Below are 19,495 nucleotides of genomic sequence, written 5' to 3'. Positions count from 1 at the left end.
GTTGAACAGTTATGTTCTATCTTTTCTTCATTACCTGGAAGAAATGTGGCTGGGTTAGAGTTGCACAAGTGCGCAGTCACAGCACTGGCCCTTCAATTAATAGAGTCTGGTATTTAAGCAAATGGTTGTCTGACAGCCACAAGTCTCCTTTAGCAGTGAGTATGCTGTTTACATCATGAGATGTCCACACAGTAAGATCCCTTCCCTGTATTATTTTAACTGCCCCCATATGACTGGTGCCTACACATTTGCATATTGAACATAGAGTTTTATTTCATACATACAGTTTTATTACAAATTTTTTATACCTTCCTTAATAGTTAGGCATTATGTTGATTTTTTGAAGATTTTGAGTGTAGTAGGTTTTATTATCTATCAGTTTCATTTTGGAAGAATAAAAAAGCTGTTACAAAAGATTTTCTATTAAAATGGAAGTTTTATTTATCCATTCATTTGTTGATAGACACTTAGGTTGTTTACTTCTTTTGGGCATTAGGAATAATGCTGCTATAATCATTGATATATATAAGTTTCTGTGTGGATATATGTTGTATGTTTTCATTTCTCTGTAGTCTATACCTGGAAGAGGAATTGCTGGGTCATATGACAATTCTATGTTTAGCTTTTTTAGGAACCACCAAAACGTTTTCCACAGCAGCTGCACCATTTTATATCCCCACCAGCAATGCCCGAGAGTTTGTGTTTCTCCATGCCTATTTTTTATTTGTTTTTGATTATTGTAGCCATCCTAGTGGCCATGCAGTTTTATCTCATTAGTTGTTGTTGCAGTTTGGTTTTGGTATCTTCTTTTGATTTGTATTTCCTTAATGACCAATGAAGTTAAATATCTGTTTATGTGTTTGTTGACCATTTGTATATTTTCTTTGAAGGAACATCTATTTAAATCCATTGTTCATTTAAAAATTTATATTGTCTTTTTTTTGTTTTGTTTTTTACTTTAAGTTCTGGGATACACGTGCAGAATGTGCAGGTTTGTTACATAGGTATACACGTGCCACGGAGGTTTGCTGCACCTATCAACCCGTCATCTATATTAGGTATTTCTGCTAATGCTCTCTCTCCCCTAGCACCCCCACCCCCGACAGGCCCCAGTGTGTGATGTTCCCCTCCCTGTGTCCAAGTGTTCTCATTGTTCAACTCCCACTTATGAGTGAGAACATGTGGTGTTTGGTTTTCTGTTCCTGTGTTAGTTTGCTGAGAATGATGGTTTCCAGCTTCATCCAGGTCCCTGAAAAGGACATGAACTCATCCTTTTTTATGTCTGCATAGTATTCCATGGTGTATATGTGCCACATCTTCTTTATCCAGTCTATCATTAATGGGCATTTGGGTTGGTTCCAAGTCTTTGCTATTGTGAACAGTGCTGCAATAAACATACGTGTGCATGTGTCTTTACAGTAGAATGATTTATAATCCTTTGGGTATATACCCAGTAATGGGATTGCTGGGTCAAATGATATTTCTGGTTCTAGATCCTTGAGAAACCACCACACTGTCTTCCACAATGGTTGAACTAATTTACAATCCCACCAACAATGTAAAAGCTTTCCTATTTCTCCACATCCTCTCCAGCATCTGTTGTTTCCTAACTTTTAATTTTTTATTTTATTTTATTTTTTCATTAAACTTTTTTAATGGGTCTCAAAATTCTGTGACAAATTTTTGGTCAAGTTGTTTCCAGTAAAAAGTACTGATTTTAAAAACTAATAACTTAAAACTGCCACATGCAAAGAAAGAAAACCAAAGTGGTCCACAAAACATTCTCCTTTCCTTCTGAAGGTTTTATGATGCATTGTTATCATTAACCAGTCTTTTACTACTAAACTTCAATGGCCAATTGAAACAAACAGTTCTGAGACCATTCTTCCACCACTGATTAACAGTGGGGTGGCAGGTAGTAGGGATAATATTTATTTAGCCTTCTGAGCTTTCTGGGCAGACTTGGTGACCTTGCCAGCTCCAGCAGCCTTCTTGTCCACTGCTTTGATGACACCCACCGCAACTGTCTGTCTGATATCATGAACAGCAAAGCGACCCAAAGGTGGATAGTCTGAGAAGCTCTCAACATACACGGGCTTGCCAGGAACCATATCAACAATGGCAGCATCACCAGACTTCAAGAATTTAGGGCCATCTTCCAGCTTTTTACCAGAATGGCGATCAGTCTTTTCCTTCAGCTCAGCAAACTTGCATGCAATGTGAGCCGTGTGGCAATCCAATACAGGGGCATAGCCAGCACTTATTTGGCCTGGATGGTTCAGGATAATCACCTGAGCAGTGAAGCCAGCTGCTTCCATTGGTGGGTCCTTTTTGCTGTCACCAGCAACGTTGCCACGACGAACATCCTTGACAGACACATTCTTGACATTGAAGCCCACATTGTCCCCAGGAAGAACTTCACTCAAAGCTTCATGGTGCATTTCAACAGATTTTACTTCTGTTGCAACGTTGACTGGAGCAAAGGTGACCACCATACCAGGTTTGAGAACACCAGTCTCCACTCAGCCAACAGGAACAGTACCAATACCACCAATTTTGTAGACATCCTGGAGAGGCAGGCACAAGGGCTTGTCAGTTGGACGAGTTGGTGGTAGGATGCAGTCAAGAGCCTCAAGCAGCGTGGTTCCACTGGCATTGCCATCCTTACGGGTGACTTTCCATCCCTTGAACCAAGGCATGTTAGCACTTGGCTCCAGCGTGTTGTCACCATTCCAACCAGAAACTGGCACAAATGCTACTGTGTCGGTGTTGTGGCCAATTTTCTTAATGTAAGTGCTGACTTCCTTAACAATTTCCTCATATCTCTTATGGCTGTAGGGTGGCTCAGTGGAATCCATTTTGTTAACACCAACAATTAGTTGTTTCACACCCAGTGTGTAAGCCAGAAGGGCGTGCTCTCGGGTCTGCCCATTCTTGGAGATACCAGCTTCAAATTCACCAAAACCAGCAGCAACAATCAAGACAGCACAGTCAGCCTGAGATGTCCCTGTAATCATGTTTTTGATGAGGTCTCTGTGTCCTGGGGCATCAATGATAGTCACATAGTACTTGCTGGTCTCAAATTTCCACAAAGAGATATCAATGGTGATACCATGTTCACGCTCAGCTTTCAGTTTATCCAAGACCCAGGCATACTTGAAGGAGCACTTTCCCATCTCAGCAGCCTCCTTCTCAAATTTTTCGATGGTTCTTTTGTCGACGCCACCGCATTTGTAGATCAGATGGCCAGTAGTGGTGGACTTGCCCGAATCTACGTGTCCGATGATCACAGTGTTGATATGAGTCTTTTCCTTTCTCGTTCTGGCTTATAGGTAGGGGTAGTTTTCACGATACCTGTGTTCTGGTGGCAAACCCATTGAGAAAAAAACAAAAAAGTTTCCTGACTTTTTAATGATCGTCATTCTAACTGGCGTGAGATGGTATCTCATTGTGGTTTTGACTTGCATTTCTCAATGACCAGTGATGATGAGCTCTTTTTAATGTTTTTTGACCTCATAAATGTCTTCTTTTGAGAAGTGTCTGTTCTCATATATTTGTTGGCTGCGTAAGTGTCTTGAGAAGTGTCTGTTCATATCCTTCACCCACTTTTTGATGGGGTTGTCTGTTTTTTCTTGTAAATTTGTTTAAGTTCTTTGTAGATTCTGGATATTAACTCTTTGTCAGATGGCTAGATTGCAAAAATTTTCTCCCATTCTGTAGGTTGCCTTTTTATTGTTGAGTGTGATAAACAAATCATAACGTACAATGATATACAATGAAATATTATTCAGGCATAAAAAGGAATGAAGGTTTCATATATTCTAGAATGTGGATGGACACCAAAAGCATTATGCTAAGTGAAAGACACTAGACACAAAAAGCCGCATGTCATATGATTCCTCTTATGTGAAATATCCAAAATAGGCAAGCTGATTAGTGGATGTCAGCGGGTGGCAGGGGGGAACAGGAAGTGATTACTTAAAGGATATGAGGTATTCTTCTGGGATGATGAAAATGTTTTGAAACTAGAAGGAAGTGGCAGTTGTACAATATTGTGACTATGCTAAGTACCACTAAATAGTACACTCGAAAATAGTTGATTGTATATGATGTGAATTTCACCTCAATTTTTTAAAGAGGAGAAAGTTAGGTCTAATAAGGTTGAAAATAACTGCTTTATGGTTCTTGATGACTTTTGTTTCATGCATCCCATGGGCAGCCTTATTAGGCCTATGAAACCCTTCTCAAAATGCCGTTTGTAAATCCATAAATTATATGAAGAAGAAACTCATGATATTGAATTATATTTACAAAAAGATTTTAGAAAATAATTTTGTGATCTAATAACATGCTTCTTCACTGAGGACCTAAATGACTAGATCTAGCAGCAGGTATAACTACCATAATTTTGAAGTAGTGATGGGTGTAAATGATAGAGTCATCTGCAACATCTGGATTACATGCCATTTCTGTTGGAGGCACAAATCATAGGCACTATAATATTAACACTGCTACAGGGTTTGTTGCCTACATTCATAAATGCTATATTTTAGTTAGAAGTTAGTGAAAATAAAAATGTAATCTTTTAAATAAAATCCAGGTTCACTGACCCCCGAAACTCTGCCTCAGAATCACAAACACCTAGCAAACAGAAGGGGCATACATTCTTTTTCCTTTGCCCTTAGGAATACCTTGGCAGAAGTGGTTAAGCAGAGCTAAATAGGAGAATAATGCAGGGTGATGCAAATGAAACAAAACAAAAAGCAACTATGTTGGTGCATTGGATTCCTCTTTAAGACTGTCATGATTAAAGAGATCTATCCTTTACTTCTTTCCAATTTTAGTATATGTGCTGCTGAAGTGAGCACTATCCTTTACTTCTTATCTAACAACATTTTTCCTCCTTATTTTAAAATAAATTTTGATCCAAATTTCAATGAAACAAATGGTCCAAGAAACAGACTGACCTAGAGAATAGAAACTTAATTGGTTGAAAAATGAGAAATTAATTTTATTACCCCTTGTCTGAAAAATAAAAGGAGTGGTTGTCATGTAGAATTTTCTTTTCTGATTGATTTTTTCTATGTGAAAATAAGCTCATGTCCTGAGGCCCATATACTCCTTGGAAATAGGAAAGAATACAATTATGTTGATTTCAACTAAGTCCAAATGACATGAAGAATATATTTGGTCTTAAGCTTTTAGTCTTTCTAGATATTGATGAAATTAGACATAAAATTTATCTGTCATAGAAGAATCACATATGATTTACTATGCATTGTTAAACGACATGAAAAAAACAGAATGTTTTACTTGATTAAGTAGTATTACTGCTTCTAGGCTAAAATAATCATGAGAAATTTCAGCTCCAAATGATACCGTATAAATCCCTTGTAATATTATAAATATAGTACTTCAATTCAAGGGTTGAGCTACTAAATTGGTAATAATAGGTCCTGAACAAAATCTAATGATACAACCCAGTTTCTCTGCCCATTTTCTAGATTTCCCCTTTAGGCCTTCAGCAGTGGGAATTAATTTTGTTTTTAAATGGTTTAACTGTAGAACTATTTTTTTCTCTTTTATACATATTCTAATTACATGGAATAATGGATCTCAAATTGGATTCAAAAGAACCCTGGGTTCCAAAGGCAATTCCTTAAAATAAATCTTATGTAATTCATTGCAAGAAAATATGAACATGTTTTATTTATATTAGACCTCATGCCCACACCAAAAAAGAATTTCAGGGCCCCCCAGAAATAATGTAGAATGGTTCATAATTTTGGTTGATGATGCGTGTGATGAGAAGGGTTAGGAGCTCAGCAGCTGAGAAGTTTTTCTTTTCCTTTTCCTTTTTTTTTTTTTTTGAGACACGGTCTCACTCTGTCACCCAGACTGGGGTGCGATGGTATGATCTCAGCTCACTGCAATCTCTGCCTGCTGGGTTCAAGTGATTCTCCCTGCTCAGCCTCCTAGGTAGCTGGGACTACAGGCAGGCACCACTAAGACAGCTAATCCCAAAGTGCTAGGATTACAGGCGTGAGCCACTGCACCTGGCTGAGAAGTCTTTTCTGCTTGAAAATTATTTTTTTAGGGCCGGGCGCGGTGGCTCATGCCTGTAATCCCAGCACTTTGGGAGGCCGAGGCGGGCGGATCACGAGGTCAGGAGATCGAGACCATCCTGGTTAACACGGTGAAACCCGTATCTACTAAAAATACAAAAAAATTAGATGGGCATGGTGGCGGGCGCCTGTAGTCCCAGCTACTCGGGAGGCTGAGGCAGGAGAATGGCGTGAACCCAGGAGGCGGAGCTTGCAGTGAGTCGAGATCGTGCCGCTCTACTCCATCCAGCCTGGGCAGCAGAGCGACACTCCATCTCAAAAAAAAAATATATGTTTTTAGAAAGAAGATTCTTGTTTTCCCTCCCTCTTTTACTCAACCCTTCATTCATTTGACTAATCTTCACTAAGTAGGCACTGTGTCAGGGGGAATGATAGTGACTGATACAGAATGATTAAAAAAATGGGAAACTTATCTGCCCTTCTGGTGATTAGAATCTAGTAAAGGATTCAGACATTAAACAATCACATAAATCTATTGATAGGATTAAAAACTGTAATAGTGCTGTTACAAAAAATATAAGAAGGTATGATGGAGAAAAATAGACATATAAAGACATATAAAGCAATCTTAACATTTGCATCTCAATGTACAACCACCAGGAACTGAGAGCTATAAATGCAGATCGATAGTATGTAGTATTAGTGACTCAAATAGCATGCACATATAAAAACAATGCAAAAAAAAACTTGGTGTTTATTTGCAAAATGACAGTTTTTAGGCTGAGATACATATTTTTAAAAAACAGGCATTTTTCACCTACACAAATTTCTGATGTGACATCTGAGAGCAATGTGCACACACAACTCTTTCTTGTGTAGAGCTGTCTTTTGAGTATTACAGGGTGTGCTGCATCCCTGGTCCCTACATACTAAATAGAAATAATGCTCCTCAATTATTGTGACATCAGAAACACCCTGACAATTTCCAAAAATGCCTCTTTGGGGGCTCTGACCCAATGACTCCTTGAATCTTAAATTTCTTTGAAGATTTATGCTTATTTCTTAAAATTAAATGCAAGTTCTGTATTTGCCCATACAGTTTATGGGTGATTGTTTAAATGTGCATGTAACCCTCATGTATCTGAACCACATGGAGGCCAGTCTCAATATATTACATCTTCCTGAAAACACAAGACTAACTCCAAAAGCACTAATGAGTAATATTGAAGGCTCTGCAGGCTTCAAAGGGAGTGTTAGAAAAGAGCTGCATTTTACCATATACAGTAAAACTTCCCTAAAATCCATTGTAAGCTTTTCTGTTCCTTTCTCAAAGTCTCTCTCACTCCCCAAATACCTATCATTCAGCTCCACCAGACAAGCTGTCTTCAAATCAAAATAAAAAGCTGTGACAAGGTTTTTTGTTCCCTCCCTCCAGATGGACACAAACTCTTCAAAGAATTATCTTGATATTTGTCCTCTTGTCACTTTTTGGTGAGTGAAATGGTAGAATAAGAAATTTGTCACCTGAGTCTTAGTTTTTAAGGCTTCTGGGTTTAGGAACAGGTGTACGGGAACACATCAGCTCTCCAATTTGCTTTCTCCAGCCTTGTTCCTGGCCTCATCCTAGGTCAAGGCTTCTTCTGACTGTTGAAAGAATTGTAGAGTTGGCAGCTCACAGCATCTTCCTCTAAGCAGCTAATTAAGAATTGCTTTAAAACAAATGTATTTGTTCTCAGGGACTCTTCTAGTAGTGGAAAGTCAGGAAAATAACTTGAAATAATGTCACTTCCAAAAATAAAACAAAATTCACTGTTTGCTGTTAGGCATTTTTAAGCCTGAACCACCAAAATTGAGTTTGAGACCCACCATTTGCTCTCTTCCAGGTGGTTAGAGGCATCAGGCCCATTAGAAATCTCTTTTTCACTATACCAAATATGTATTTTCTTCATTTAAGGTACCTAGAACTATGTTCCAATATTTGAGTTGAGCAGTCTTTTAAAGAGCTTTCACCAAAGACATCCTACTAAATTATCATACAGGTATGGATCTGTCAGGAATATATGAGATCTAAGAAACATGAGAAAATGATTACTAGTGAACCATTGCCTCATTCAGAAACTCAGCCTATTTATATTAAGTGGCCTTGAAATTGGGAGCTAAAATTAGTTGCTATTTAATAGTTGCCTATGTTGAAAAAAGAATTTTGATATTTCAAATTAGGTGTTCAGAAACTTTTCATAAAAGGACCTCTGAGGTTTTAAGCTTTGTTCATTAAGTTAGTAGAGGTGGGGATGGTGAAGGAGACAGGTTAAAGTCTACAAAATGAAAATTAGAAAGGACATTTGCTTAAAAATAAAATTATACAAATTTTTCTCAATAATAATAAAGAAAGATATGTTAGAATCTCTGAAAGAGTAAAACTATCCATAGAAGGCCCTCAGGGGAGCCTAGTTCCATTTAACATAAAATGATTAATGATTTTTCAAACGACTGCAGAAGAGGCAGTGTGTACTGATGCTCAAGCAATGGCAATTCAGGTTAAGAACAGATGCCTGTTATAAATGGGGCATGTAAAGGTACTAATGCCACCCTGACATTCAGATAGGAAGTTAAAATAGAACAATGATTTTCATTAGATGAAAAGAAAATGTGTTTATGGAAAATACAGTTAATGCAAGAGAAAAGAAAAGGAAAACTTTTCTATATCAAATTATCAATACTACATATTGGTTCATAGTTTCTGAATGCAAGTCATTTCCTATAATAGTTTGTTTTTATTGTTGTTGTTTTTAAATAGGCTTTACTTTTTAGAGTGGTTTTAGGTTCGCAATAAAATTGCACAGAAGGTACAGAGATTTCCTTTATTTTCCATACCCTACACACACCTCCTCACCATCCCTTACTATCAACATTCTCCACCAGAGCAGTACATTTATTATAATCAAACCTACATTGACAACTCATTATTACTCAAATTCCTTAGTTTACATTAGGTTTCATTTTTGGTGTTCTGCATTCTGTGGATTTGGACAAATGTATAATAATATATATCCACAAGTAGAGTATCATACAGAGCAGTTTCACTGTCCTAAAAATTCCCTGGGTTCCATCTATCCATCCCTCACTCTTCTCTAACCCCTGGAAACCACTGAGGCTTCTACAGTCTCCACACTTAAACCTTTTCCAGAATGTCATACAGCTGGAATCATACAGTATGTAGCCTTTTAGATTTGTTTTCTTCACTTAGTAATATAAATTTAAGGTTTATTCATGTCTTTTCATGGCTTAATAGCTCACTTCTTTTTAGTGCTGAATAATATTTCATTGTCTGAATGTACCATAGTTTATCCATTCACCTAATGAAGGACATCCTGGTTGCACCAAATTTTGGCAGTCACAAATTAAAACTGTGTGTGTGTGTGTGTGTGTGTGTGTGTGTGTGTGAGATGGGGATTTGTGTACAGATTATTTCATCACCCAGGAAATAGTGCCTGATAGGTAGTTTATGGGTTTCACCTTCCCATCCACTCTCCACTCTCAAAGAGGCGCTGATGTCTGTTATTCCCTTCTTTATGTCCATGTGTACTCAATGTTTAGCTCTCACTTATGAGGACATGCAGTATTTGTTTTTGTTGTTGTTATTGTTCCTGCATTAATTGATTTAGGATAATGGTTTCCATCTGTGTTGCTGCAAAGGACATGATTTCCTTCTTTTTATGGCTGCACAGTATTCCATGGTGTAGCTGTACTACATTTTGTTTGTCCAGTCCACTGCTGATGGCTTTTCGCCTATTTTTTAAATTGGTTAGTTTTCTTTTTCTTGAGTTTCAACAGTTCTTTGTATATTTTGATAATAGTCCTTTATCAGACACATATTTTGCAAATATTTTCTTTCAGTCTATGACATGTTTTCTCATCTTGAAGCATCATTGTTTTAGTAAGAAAAATAAATTAACTACAGCAATAAAAATACACACACACATACACACCTATACACATTTTAAGGCCTAAAGTTAGTCAAGCTCTTATAGTTTCATTGAATTGTGAAAATAATTTTATCAATAGATAATTGCCAGTATTTAAATGAGAAATGGTATAGAACTGTGACATGTATTTATTAGAAAAAAATGTGGTTGATGAATATCGGATGAACATGAACTTTAGGTAACATTCTGAAATATTGTGGAAATCTTGTAATTTGACAAATATTTTAAATGTTTGGTAATGTGAAAATTATTTTTAAAGTCTCCCTTGTGGTTAAAGTCTTCCAAAGGCTAGTGAAATATCAGTCTGTGTGTCTCTGAACTGATTAATTAGAAAATATTCAAAATTGTTTTAAAATTCTCATTACTTCTATTGCATACTGCTCTATTTCTTTCCCCCCACAAGCTAGCTATTGTGAGCAAAGATGAGCAATTAGCAAATTTCTTAATTTGCTTATTTATCATGTTGTAGGTAATAATAATAATTCGTTTTAGGGACATTTACTGCTTTTATAAAAGTAAACACATAAATGAGTACTCCACAATTTCAAAATTATTTTATTTTCTATTAGGATAATCTAGCATTGCAAAAAACAATAACCATAATCATGGTAGATTTTGTGTTATGCTTACCAATACTAAAAACAGAAACAGAACTGGAATTCACTAATTATATAATTTTTCTCTAGTTCCAACTATTATCTTTACTGCAGTTTCACAGTTGTGGTAGTCACTGTGATGTGCCATGGCTTAATGAACTTTTGCTGAACTGTTGGGAGTACAGGTAACAAATAGCATTTATCTGTCAGCTTCTTCAGGGATGGCCATAGCTGCCTTGTCCAAATCATGTCCTTTCCCAGGTCAGCTTATATCCATCCAATCATTGAGGTTATAAAGGCCCGTCAAATTGTGCTCTCCATTGGACAACTGTAACTAGCCTTTTAAACTCCAGGGTATTCTATGAGGTGGGCTGAGGCTATTGGGCTTGCACCACAGCTCGACTTCTCTCTCAGCTCTTTTGCTTTCTTACCTTCATCTTCACATACTGATCCCAAGTGTACAGCCTAATAAACACTGCACACACATACTAAATTCAATCTCAGAGTCTGCTTCTCAGAGAATTCCAGTGGTGAAAATAGTTCCATCTCCAGCAGGAACTCTGCATTGTTTCAAACTTAACATGTCCCAGCTACGTTTATCATCTTAGTGTCAAAATTTCTCTCTCATTTTTATTAACATATATCTGAAAATAACACCACATATCTCTTGGTTATTTATTATGCATAATTTTTTTTAACTCTTCCATCCTCATTTCACAACTTCCAGTGAGATATCAAATTTGGTCATTTCTTCCAAATTCAACATTCCTTTCTATTTCTATTGCCAGAACTACTGTCTGGGTCCTTGTCACTTGGTACCTGAGATACTGTCAATACCTGGACACCGTATCTCTTATTTTCTATTCTGGTCCTTCCTACATATTAGTTATAGTTTTCCTGAGCCACCAGTTTCAATTCTCTGTTGATGAATCTCTGGTGGTTTGGTATTTCATAAACTCTGGAAATGTTATTTCATGATTTTATGTGTATTTGTCTTTATTCTCCAACTTGTAAACTCCTGGGACTAAGACTTTTACTTGCTATATGATGACAACAGGAGATGTCAATAATGGAAATCCAACGTGTTAGACTCCAAACGTCTAAATTTGAATAAGTACATAATTAAACATTATGTAATAAACATTACCCTCAGAGTATTTTTAAAAAGTTTTAAAAGCTAACCTGATACCTATTATTATTTCCTATCATTTATATTATGCATTTTTAATTTTGATTCTCAAATATTCCAGTAAACTGTAGAGAATGAAAGATGGAAATTTAAGTGATTAAAAATAAATGTAAACCTACTTAACAAAAGTCAGCGTTTTCTTTTCTGAATGCATGATAACTTGGTAACATTTTACAATGCAATTTACAAAATAACAAGTTAGTGTCAAGATTTCATTTTAAGTAAACATTTATATTCAGAAACGTTTAGTATCTTTGTTGGTTTCTTCAAATCAGGATGCATATAACTTGTTGTCAGTTACTAATAAAATATGTTGCCAGAGTTAAGAAAAGCTATTAGCAAGAGGGACCTCAGAACTTTATGCTGGATTATCTCAATAGATAACTTTTTTTTTTTTTTAAACAGGGTGTGGCTCTGCTGCAGAAGCTGGAGTGCAATGGCATGATTTTGGCTTCACTGCAACCTCCGCCTCTTAGGCTCAAACCATCCTCCTATCTCAGCCTCCCAAGTGGCTGGAACTACAGGCGTGTGCCACCCCGCCTGGCCGATTTTTGTACTTTTTATGGAGATGGGTTTTACCATGTTGCCCAGACTGCTGGTCTCAAACTCCTGGGATCAAGTGATCCTCCCACCTTGGCCTCCCAAAGTGCTAGAATTACAAGCATGAGCCACCACGCCCAGCCTGGATACTTTAAGTATCCACAGATCATTAGAAATTAGCCTACAACCCTGCCTCCATAGGAATTTGTCTTATTTAAATATCTAATCTTCAAAAGTTAATAGAAAAATTAAGCTTTTTTTCAACATAAACAAAAAAATTATACAACTCTGTGATATATGCACAGAAGAGATTTTCTCTCCTTTTTATGGGAGCATTTGCCTTATAGTTATGCCTATTCAAGTTGACACATTACAAAGGTACCACTGTTGACAAAAACATTTTAGGATCTATAATCTTAGTAGAGTGTCTCTAAGTAGCTAGTCACAATATCTCCTAGGAATCCTTTCTGGAACTTGGGTAGACCAGTATCTCAATTTTAATGATCACACGATAATTGGAGATGCTGAAAGAACCTGGGTGCCCAGTAGGAAAGTAGCCTAGATGATGATAGTCCCAAAGAAGATGGACTAGAAAAAAATAAAATGACACGTGGCAGACTACTGGTTGTTCTACAATATCCATTCTCCTGGATACTGGCCCAAACCATCCTCCTATCTCAGCCTCCCAAGTAGCTGGAACTACAGGCGTGTGTGCCACCCCGCCTGGCCGATGCGCGGTGGCTCACGCCTGTAATCCCAGGACTTTGGGAGGCCAACGCAGGCGGATCAATGGAGGTCGGGAGTTCGAGACCAGTCTGACCAACATGGGGAAACTGTCTCTACTAAAAATACAAAAATTAGCTAGGCGTCGTGACGCATGCCTGTAATCCCAGTTACTCAGGAGGCTAAGGCAGGAGAATAGCTTGAACCCAGGAGGCGGAGGTTGCAGTGAGCCGAGATTGTACCATTGCATTCCAGCCCAGGCAACAGTGTGAGACTCCGTCTCAAAAACAAAACAACAACAAAAAATAATAAAATAAAAGAAAGAATAAATAATCTCTACTGGGTTAGGAAATGGCCTTATGGAGAAGATGGCATTTGAGTAAGCTACTTAGGGTTTTTTGCTCTGTAAGTCGGTGTCAACGTCCCGTTTTCACGTGGTGGCCTGATCATTTTGTCTTATAGTGATGTCTTTGCGTGCATGTGCGCTCATCTCCTATATTGGACAGGGTCTAGAGCAGTTCCTGGCACAGAGTAATCACTCAATATTACATCACTATACTAAAAAATCATGATAGTAATTCTTGACGGGATAAATGAAGGCATGAATAAATGTATGAATTAACGAGTGGCAGTGAGCTCTTCAGGGGTGGTGGGTCTTGTCTCACTCGTCTTTGAGCTGCGGCCTCGCTGAGGGCATAGTGCGCACAACTGGCTGGTGTTCCAGATTCCACTGGCAGGGACCAGGATCGCAGCCCGAGCGCCGGGGCGGGAGGGATGACTCCGGACGGTAGGGGGCACCGGCGTGCGGCCCGGCCGAGCCCCCAGGTAGCTCCGCGCGCACAGCAGGACCGTCATTGACGCCATGAGCGCGCTGCTGCGGCTGCTGCGCACGGGTGCCCCAGCCGCTGCGTGCCTGCGGTTGGGGACCAGTGCAGGGACCGGGTCGCGCCGTGCTATGGCCCTGTACCACACTGAGGAGCGCGGCCAGCCCTGCTCGCAGAATTACCGCCTCTTCTTTAGTAAGTAGCTCCCGGAGGTTCGCCGAGCGGCGCACCGGAGAAACCTGGGTGGGGGATGGAATGGGGGACACTTGGGACGCCCCGCGCGGTCTCCCTTCTCTCTTTTTGGGGCCCTCAGCGGTAGCCGCGCGGTCCAGGCCACCTTACTTCCCGCGGGAGCGCGCACCGAGTCACGAGAACTGCCAGCGAGGAGGCGGCGGATCAAGACCCCAAAGCGGAGAGCAGAGGCGCAGGGCTGCCGGCTGGGGGGTAGATAGCGCCCTGTGCCCTGCCAGCCGCCCTCCCCGAGGGGTAGGCAGAGTGCAAGCGGCCACCCCGCGGCGGCCTGCAGCCATTAGCCGGCCCGGCCGCCGTTCCCGGTTCACACAACTCAGTGAGGAAGGGAAGGCAGAGCCCGCCCACACGCCGGCCTTCCTAGAGGCGTAAGAAACCTCCTACTGCGGGAGCTCCCTGACGTCGGAGAGGCAGGCGGAACTTTGCGGATGCCTAATCCAGCGCGTCTTCTTTTTTTGGAGGGACTCTGATGAAGGTTCTTTCCCCAGAAGCTTGACTTGGTACGCACAAGTTTACACCCTGAGTGTGATCCACCATCCAAAGCCTCGTTGGTTCCGGAGCAGCCCCTTTTCCTCCCCAAGCTGAACAAGCCCAGAAGGCTAAGCGACTTCGGGGGGGTCCCTGAGTTGCCGAGCTCAGAGAAAGGACCCAGGTCTTCGTGACTCATTGTTCCGTGTACCCCATTGTTTCACTGTGTACGTTAACCGTAACAGAAAATAGCGATGTCGGTCGCTTGCCTTCACTCCCCACTGACTGCAGAGCCTTGGAGTGGTAGTATCAAAGTGGGCCTTGCATTATCGCTCCCCTTTTCGGAGCACTGGCTCTGGAGGCTTTCAGTTCTAAGCAGGCCCTCGAGTTCTTCACGTCTTAACTCTGTGACCCCGGACGAGTTTAAGTTGCTAAGCCTTGTTTTTTCTCATCCGTAAAATAGGGCTGCAAGTATTACATGACATTATATATGTAAACTGATTAGTCACAGGGCCTAAAATATAAATTACTATTGTTAATACCGATAATCATTATAGATATTTGTAATTTATGAGAGATTTGCAGTTATGCTACATGAGTTTAGGGTCGAGGATTATTTTGTGGGAAAGAAGAGTTTGCCTAAAGTCGTGTGATTATAATGCAACTAGTACTAGAATTTCTATTTTCTTCAAAATTGGTTGCAGTTTTCACCCTATGCCACATATTTTCTTCTATCTTTGGTTAAGACTGATCAGGTGAACAGGAAGTCTCAAATTTCTGAATGGATTATGTTCTAAAAGGTTACCATGTGATGATTAATGGGAATAGTCAGAAAAAATTATGAAGTGGCAGTTCGCTTTTTAAGCAGATTGAAAAAAGGCCTGTCTACTGCAAGTATTCTAGATTTGCAATAAGTACGGTAATTAATAGATACCCAAATAATAAATATTTATGAAGTGTGCTAGACACTGTTAGGCATAGTACAGAGATTCACAATATTACTATAATTATGGAAAAAGTAAATACACTGGTTGAGCAAAAACAGGCTTGAGAAGCCAGGAGCGCACAGAGTAGTTGACCCAGTACCGGATTTGGAATGGGGAGTCCTAGGCCATAATCTTGGCTCTGCCGTTAACTCGCTGTGTGCTGTTGGGTGGGTGGTTACTTCAGTTCTTTCTCACAGAGCCAGTTTCTTCAGCTGTAAAATGAAGCTTTTGACCTTGAAACGATGATCCTCAAGGTCCTTCTCAGCACTGGTATTCCCTGAAGGCATTGGATGAATAACGGAGATTCTAACAGTCTCTGTTAAGACAGGATGTCGAATGGGGGCATTTTTGGGAGTATGTTGGCCTCTTATTGTTGGTTTGTTTCTTTAGCTGCAAATGTACTTAGGACTCATGATTTTTCTGTAACTAGAGTGCCACAAATAAAATACGTTTTTCATTCAGTTGGATAAACAGGGCAGGAAAGAAGAAAACCCGATTTTACTAAGGTAAATGGGCAAAAACTGGAAGAAAGGGGAGTGTGGTTTTGGAGAGGGTCCCGATGGTAAGATCCTGATTGGAAGGTGTGTTGGTTAAACAATTTCTGAACTAACCGCCAGATGGCATCACTGGCCAGGACTGTTTACTACCTGCTAGAAGGGGTAGGGCAAAGTGAAACGAAGCCACTCTAGGGCGAATGGGGTAAGGGGAAAGCAACGAATAAATTGCCCTTTATAAAGATGATCACAGATTGGATATTTATTACTCAGTGTGTCTGTATGCAGTACTAGGGTGGACTAATGTCTCACTTCAAAAAAAATATGAGTGTAGTATACTTGGCCTAAAATTGTTACTCAGTGTTACTAAAGTGTAATCATTTTCCACATCTCCAAATATATTCCAAGTCTCTGAAATACTAGTGCATTGGGAGGTAGAACATTTTCGAGCTTCATGTCTGTAAATGGTTTCTCTTTACTGTCATTCAGTAAAATCAGAATAAATGATTGATGTAATACTTAAAAAAAAATTGGTGTTAAACTTTGTAGAAAGAGTGAGACAGGATGATTAGGGGAAAGGGTATCCTGATGGGAATCATCAGGCCTCCTTGGTGCCAGCCCTGACCCTGTTAGTATCTTGCTGTCACTTCACCTCCCTGCATCTCATTTTTTAAAACCATGGAATGAGGAGATTGGACCAGATGATCATTTTCCAGACTGCTTAGTTGAACACAAGCATCCCATGGTATATTATTAGGTTTTCGTTAAAACAGAGGGTTTCATGGTTTAATAAATTAGAACACTTCCCATTTTATTACTTTTTTGAAGAAGAATTTGCCTATTTAAGTTCTGGAAAATTCGGATGTAACTTCTCCAAAAACTGAACCACAGAGTACTTATTTCTCAGAACATTTGTTAACATCTTAGTGACATCAGGGTTATGATTTCTGCAACTTCCAGAAGCAACTGTGCTGTAACAGTTCTAAACTAATAGTCAAACCACTTAAGTTGTAGTCCTGACTTTACCGTCTTGGACAAGTCACTCGACTGAATTAACCAGAGGCATCCCTTACCTTCAGATGACATCCGGTAGCTCAGTTTCTCCGTAAATAAAATGGGGATAGCACTAGTAATTTTATAGAATTGCTGTGGCAGTTAAATGAGACTATGTGTGTAATTATCAGTGTCTCACACGTGATAGGTATTTAATAAATGTTATTTATTTTTCCCTTTTGACTTTAAGACATTAGACTAAAATCCTTATTATTAGATTCTGTGAAGGGAGAAAATAAGGTGATGTGATTGATTATTTTGAAGTGTTCCTGTTAATTTATAGGTTTCAGAAGGTTTTTTGTTGTTGTTGTTTATTCATTTTATTTTTATTTTTTTGGTTTGTTTGTTTGTTTAGAGATGGGGTCTCATACTTTTGCCCAAGCTGGAGCACAGTGTGCAATCACGACTCACAGCAGCCTTGACTTCCCCAGCTCAAGCGATCCTCTCACCTCTGTCTCCTGGGTAGCTGGGACTACAGGCATGCACCACTGTGCCCGGCTTCCTAGGTCTTAAAGTTTTAATGGGTACTTGCAGTCTTTTAAATTAACTGTGAAATCATAATGAAGTTAGACTCACTTATATTGAGCCAAAGACCTAATGCTGCATGCCAGTATTCCTTTGATATCTTGCGTGTTTTTGTTTGTTTTGTTTCGTTAATAACTTGAAATTTTATTTTAGATTTCATACTGTTCTCATAGGATAGGGAAAAGCTATGCTTTCCATAATTAGGAATTTTGTTATTATGGGATAGGCAACTGGTTTACTTAGAGAAATAGTGCTGTGGATAATTCAAGTTGCTTTTATTTAGTCTGGGAATGAACCAAGCAGTTCTTTAAAATTAATTTGCTTTGTCACTTATAGTAAGCATGTGCTTGTGTTGAAATTACTGTAGGTTTTCTTTATGTCATTTGGGTAGTAGGAGGAATCTGCCATTGAAAGTGCTGTATCTTTGGACTTAAAAGAGAACTTCCCGTGAATAATCCACAAAATTTGTTTGAGTCTTAAATATGAGTTTCTGTAACTTTTTAAAGTTGGCCTATATCATAGAACTTCAACTGATATAATGGAACACAATGGGTTTTGTGTGAATATAGAAAAAGTATTTTATTTGATTTTTCAGTCCTTAAAACCTTAAACGTTTTCTATATCAGTGCTGTGAAATAGGAATTGTGTGATCTATATGGAACAGAGGAAGCATTTTTATTGAAGTTTTTAGGCTCCTTTACATTTCTTAATCTTTTTATCAGAAAATAAAACAAAGTTAGCTTTAGTCATTGCTGAAGCTTCCAGTAAGAATCTCTATAAGTGGTTTTGTAGTCGTGTGTAATCATATGTTGGTATATGGCATACATTTAGCTGTCTGGTATAGATACATAAAATTAGGTATGGTTTTCACATTCCATTCAATTTTCTCACTTGCTCTAGTGTAAGTAATAAACTTTCATCCTGATACAACTTGCTCTTGTGAGAGAAAGAATCACATAGATAACTTAGAAAATGCTAGAATAAAATCTGATTTCAGACCAGTTGAAGGGAGAATTTTGACCACTGTTTGGCAATATCGTGTAGATTGATGGGCCTGATAGAGGTTAGCAATTAATGCCTAAGGACACAATCTGATTTTTGACGACAGTGAAATACCATGGCAAAAATGACACAGTGACTACAATCATTTATCTCTTTTCCCCTATAATAAATATCCTATTAAAGTGATAGTAAGTGAGGATAAGAAAGGGTAACCCTAAAACAACAGATAAGGAGCCACCAAAGCTTGAGATTTTGAAATATGTATAAAAGATTAAAAAACCAATGGAGATATGGTTATTAATGAAGCAGTGTGGAAGAAGTCCCAGCTTAAGTATATGTGTTCAGGGGACGTAGTTTAGGGAAAAGCCGAGCTGCTGCAGAACCTCAGAGAGGTTGTGGGTGTGTTGATATAAGATAGGATAGAGAGTTAGATGGATGTAGAACTTAACACAGGGGGATTAGTTTAAGTTGTACTACAAATAGTACACAAATGTTTCCCATGCAGGTCTAATGCATGAGGGTTGTGTTAGTTCCAACTGTAAAAGTGAATGAAGAGCTGAGAGGGAAGTAGGACCCCTGATGGTGTTGGTGCCCCAGCAGTACTCTGCATGCTGGTATTTGGGGACCCCAGCATAACAGCCAGCCTCCTACCCATTCATCTCTGTGGGAACACAGAGTTCCCAGTGATTTTTTCTAGTCTTTTTAATATAAACCAAATAGTCAAGGATCACCTAACTTAGGCTTTCATCGCTACTGTTCTACCAACTGCTTTTTGTCAGGGCTACCTGTCACCTC

General features: G+C 39.1%; 1 protein-coding gene and 1 pseudogene across 4 annotated transcripts in view, besides 3 other annotated features; one reads left to right on the top strand and one right to left on the bottom strand.

The window, feature by feature from the left end:
* EEF1A1P9 (eukaryotic translation elongation factor 1 alpha 1 pseudogene 9) lies at positions 1,636-3,386 on the bottom strand (annotated as a pseudogene).
* Positions 13,760-13,969: a silencer, noted in NCBI's record as "silent region_15608". NCBI's record gives its function as "represses an Ori minimal core promoter by ATAC-STARR-seq in GM12878 lymphoblastoid cells {active_cell/tissue: GM12878}" and the evidence as "EXISTENCE:reporter gene assay evidence [ECO:0000049][PMID:35858748]".
* Positions 13,942-19,495, top strand: part of PPA2 (inorganic pyrophosphatase 2) — a 104,994-nt gene continuing 99,440 nt past the window's right edge. For 3 of the 4 annotated variants that reach the window (NM_176867.3, NM_176866.2, NM_006903.4), the window contains exon 1: positions 13,942-14,118. In NM_176867.3, coding sequence (NP_789843.2) covers positions 13,962-14,118 — 157 coding nt within the window. In that variant the 5' untranslated portion in view covers positions 13,942-13,961. The remainder of the gene's footprint in view (positions 14,119-19,495) is intronic. The other variant, NM_176869.3, reaches the window with a different exon arrangement.
* Positions 14,190-14,309: an enhancer, noted in NCBI's record as "active region_21781". NCBI's record gives its function as "activates an Ori minimal core promoter by ATAC-STARR-seq in GM12878 lymphoblastoid cells {active_cell/tissue: GM12878}" and the evidence as "EXISTENCE:reporter gene assay evidence [ECO:0000049][PMID:35858748]".
* Positions 14,600-14,769: an enhancer, noted in NCBI's record as "active region_21780". NCBI's record gives its function as "activates an Ori minimal core promoter by ATAC-STARR-seq in GM12878 lymphoblastoid cells {active_cell/tissue: GM12878}" and the evidence as "EXISTENCE:reporter gene assay evidence [ECO:0000049][PMID:35858748]".

This window comes from Homo sapiens, chromosome 4 (genome assembly GCF_000001405.40).
Source record: "Homo sapiens chromosome 4, GRCh38.p14 Primary Assembly".
Classification (NCBI taxonomy): domain Eukaryota; kingdom Metazoa; phylum Chordata; class Mammalia; order Primates; family Hominidae; genus Homo; species Homo sapiens.
Note: the sequence above shows the minus strand (reverse complement) of the source record. Positions and strands in the feature narration are given on the sequence as shown.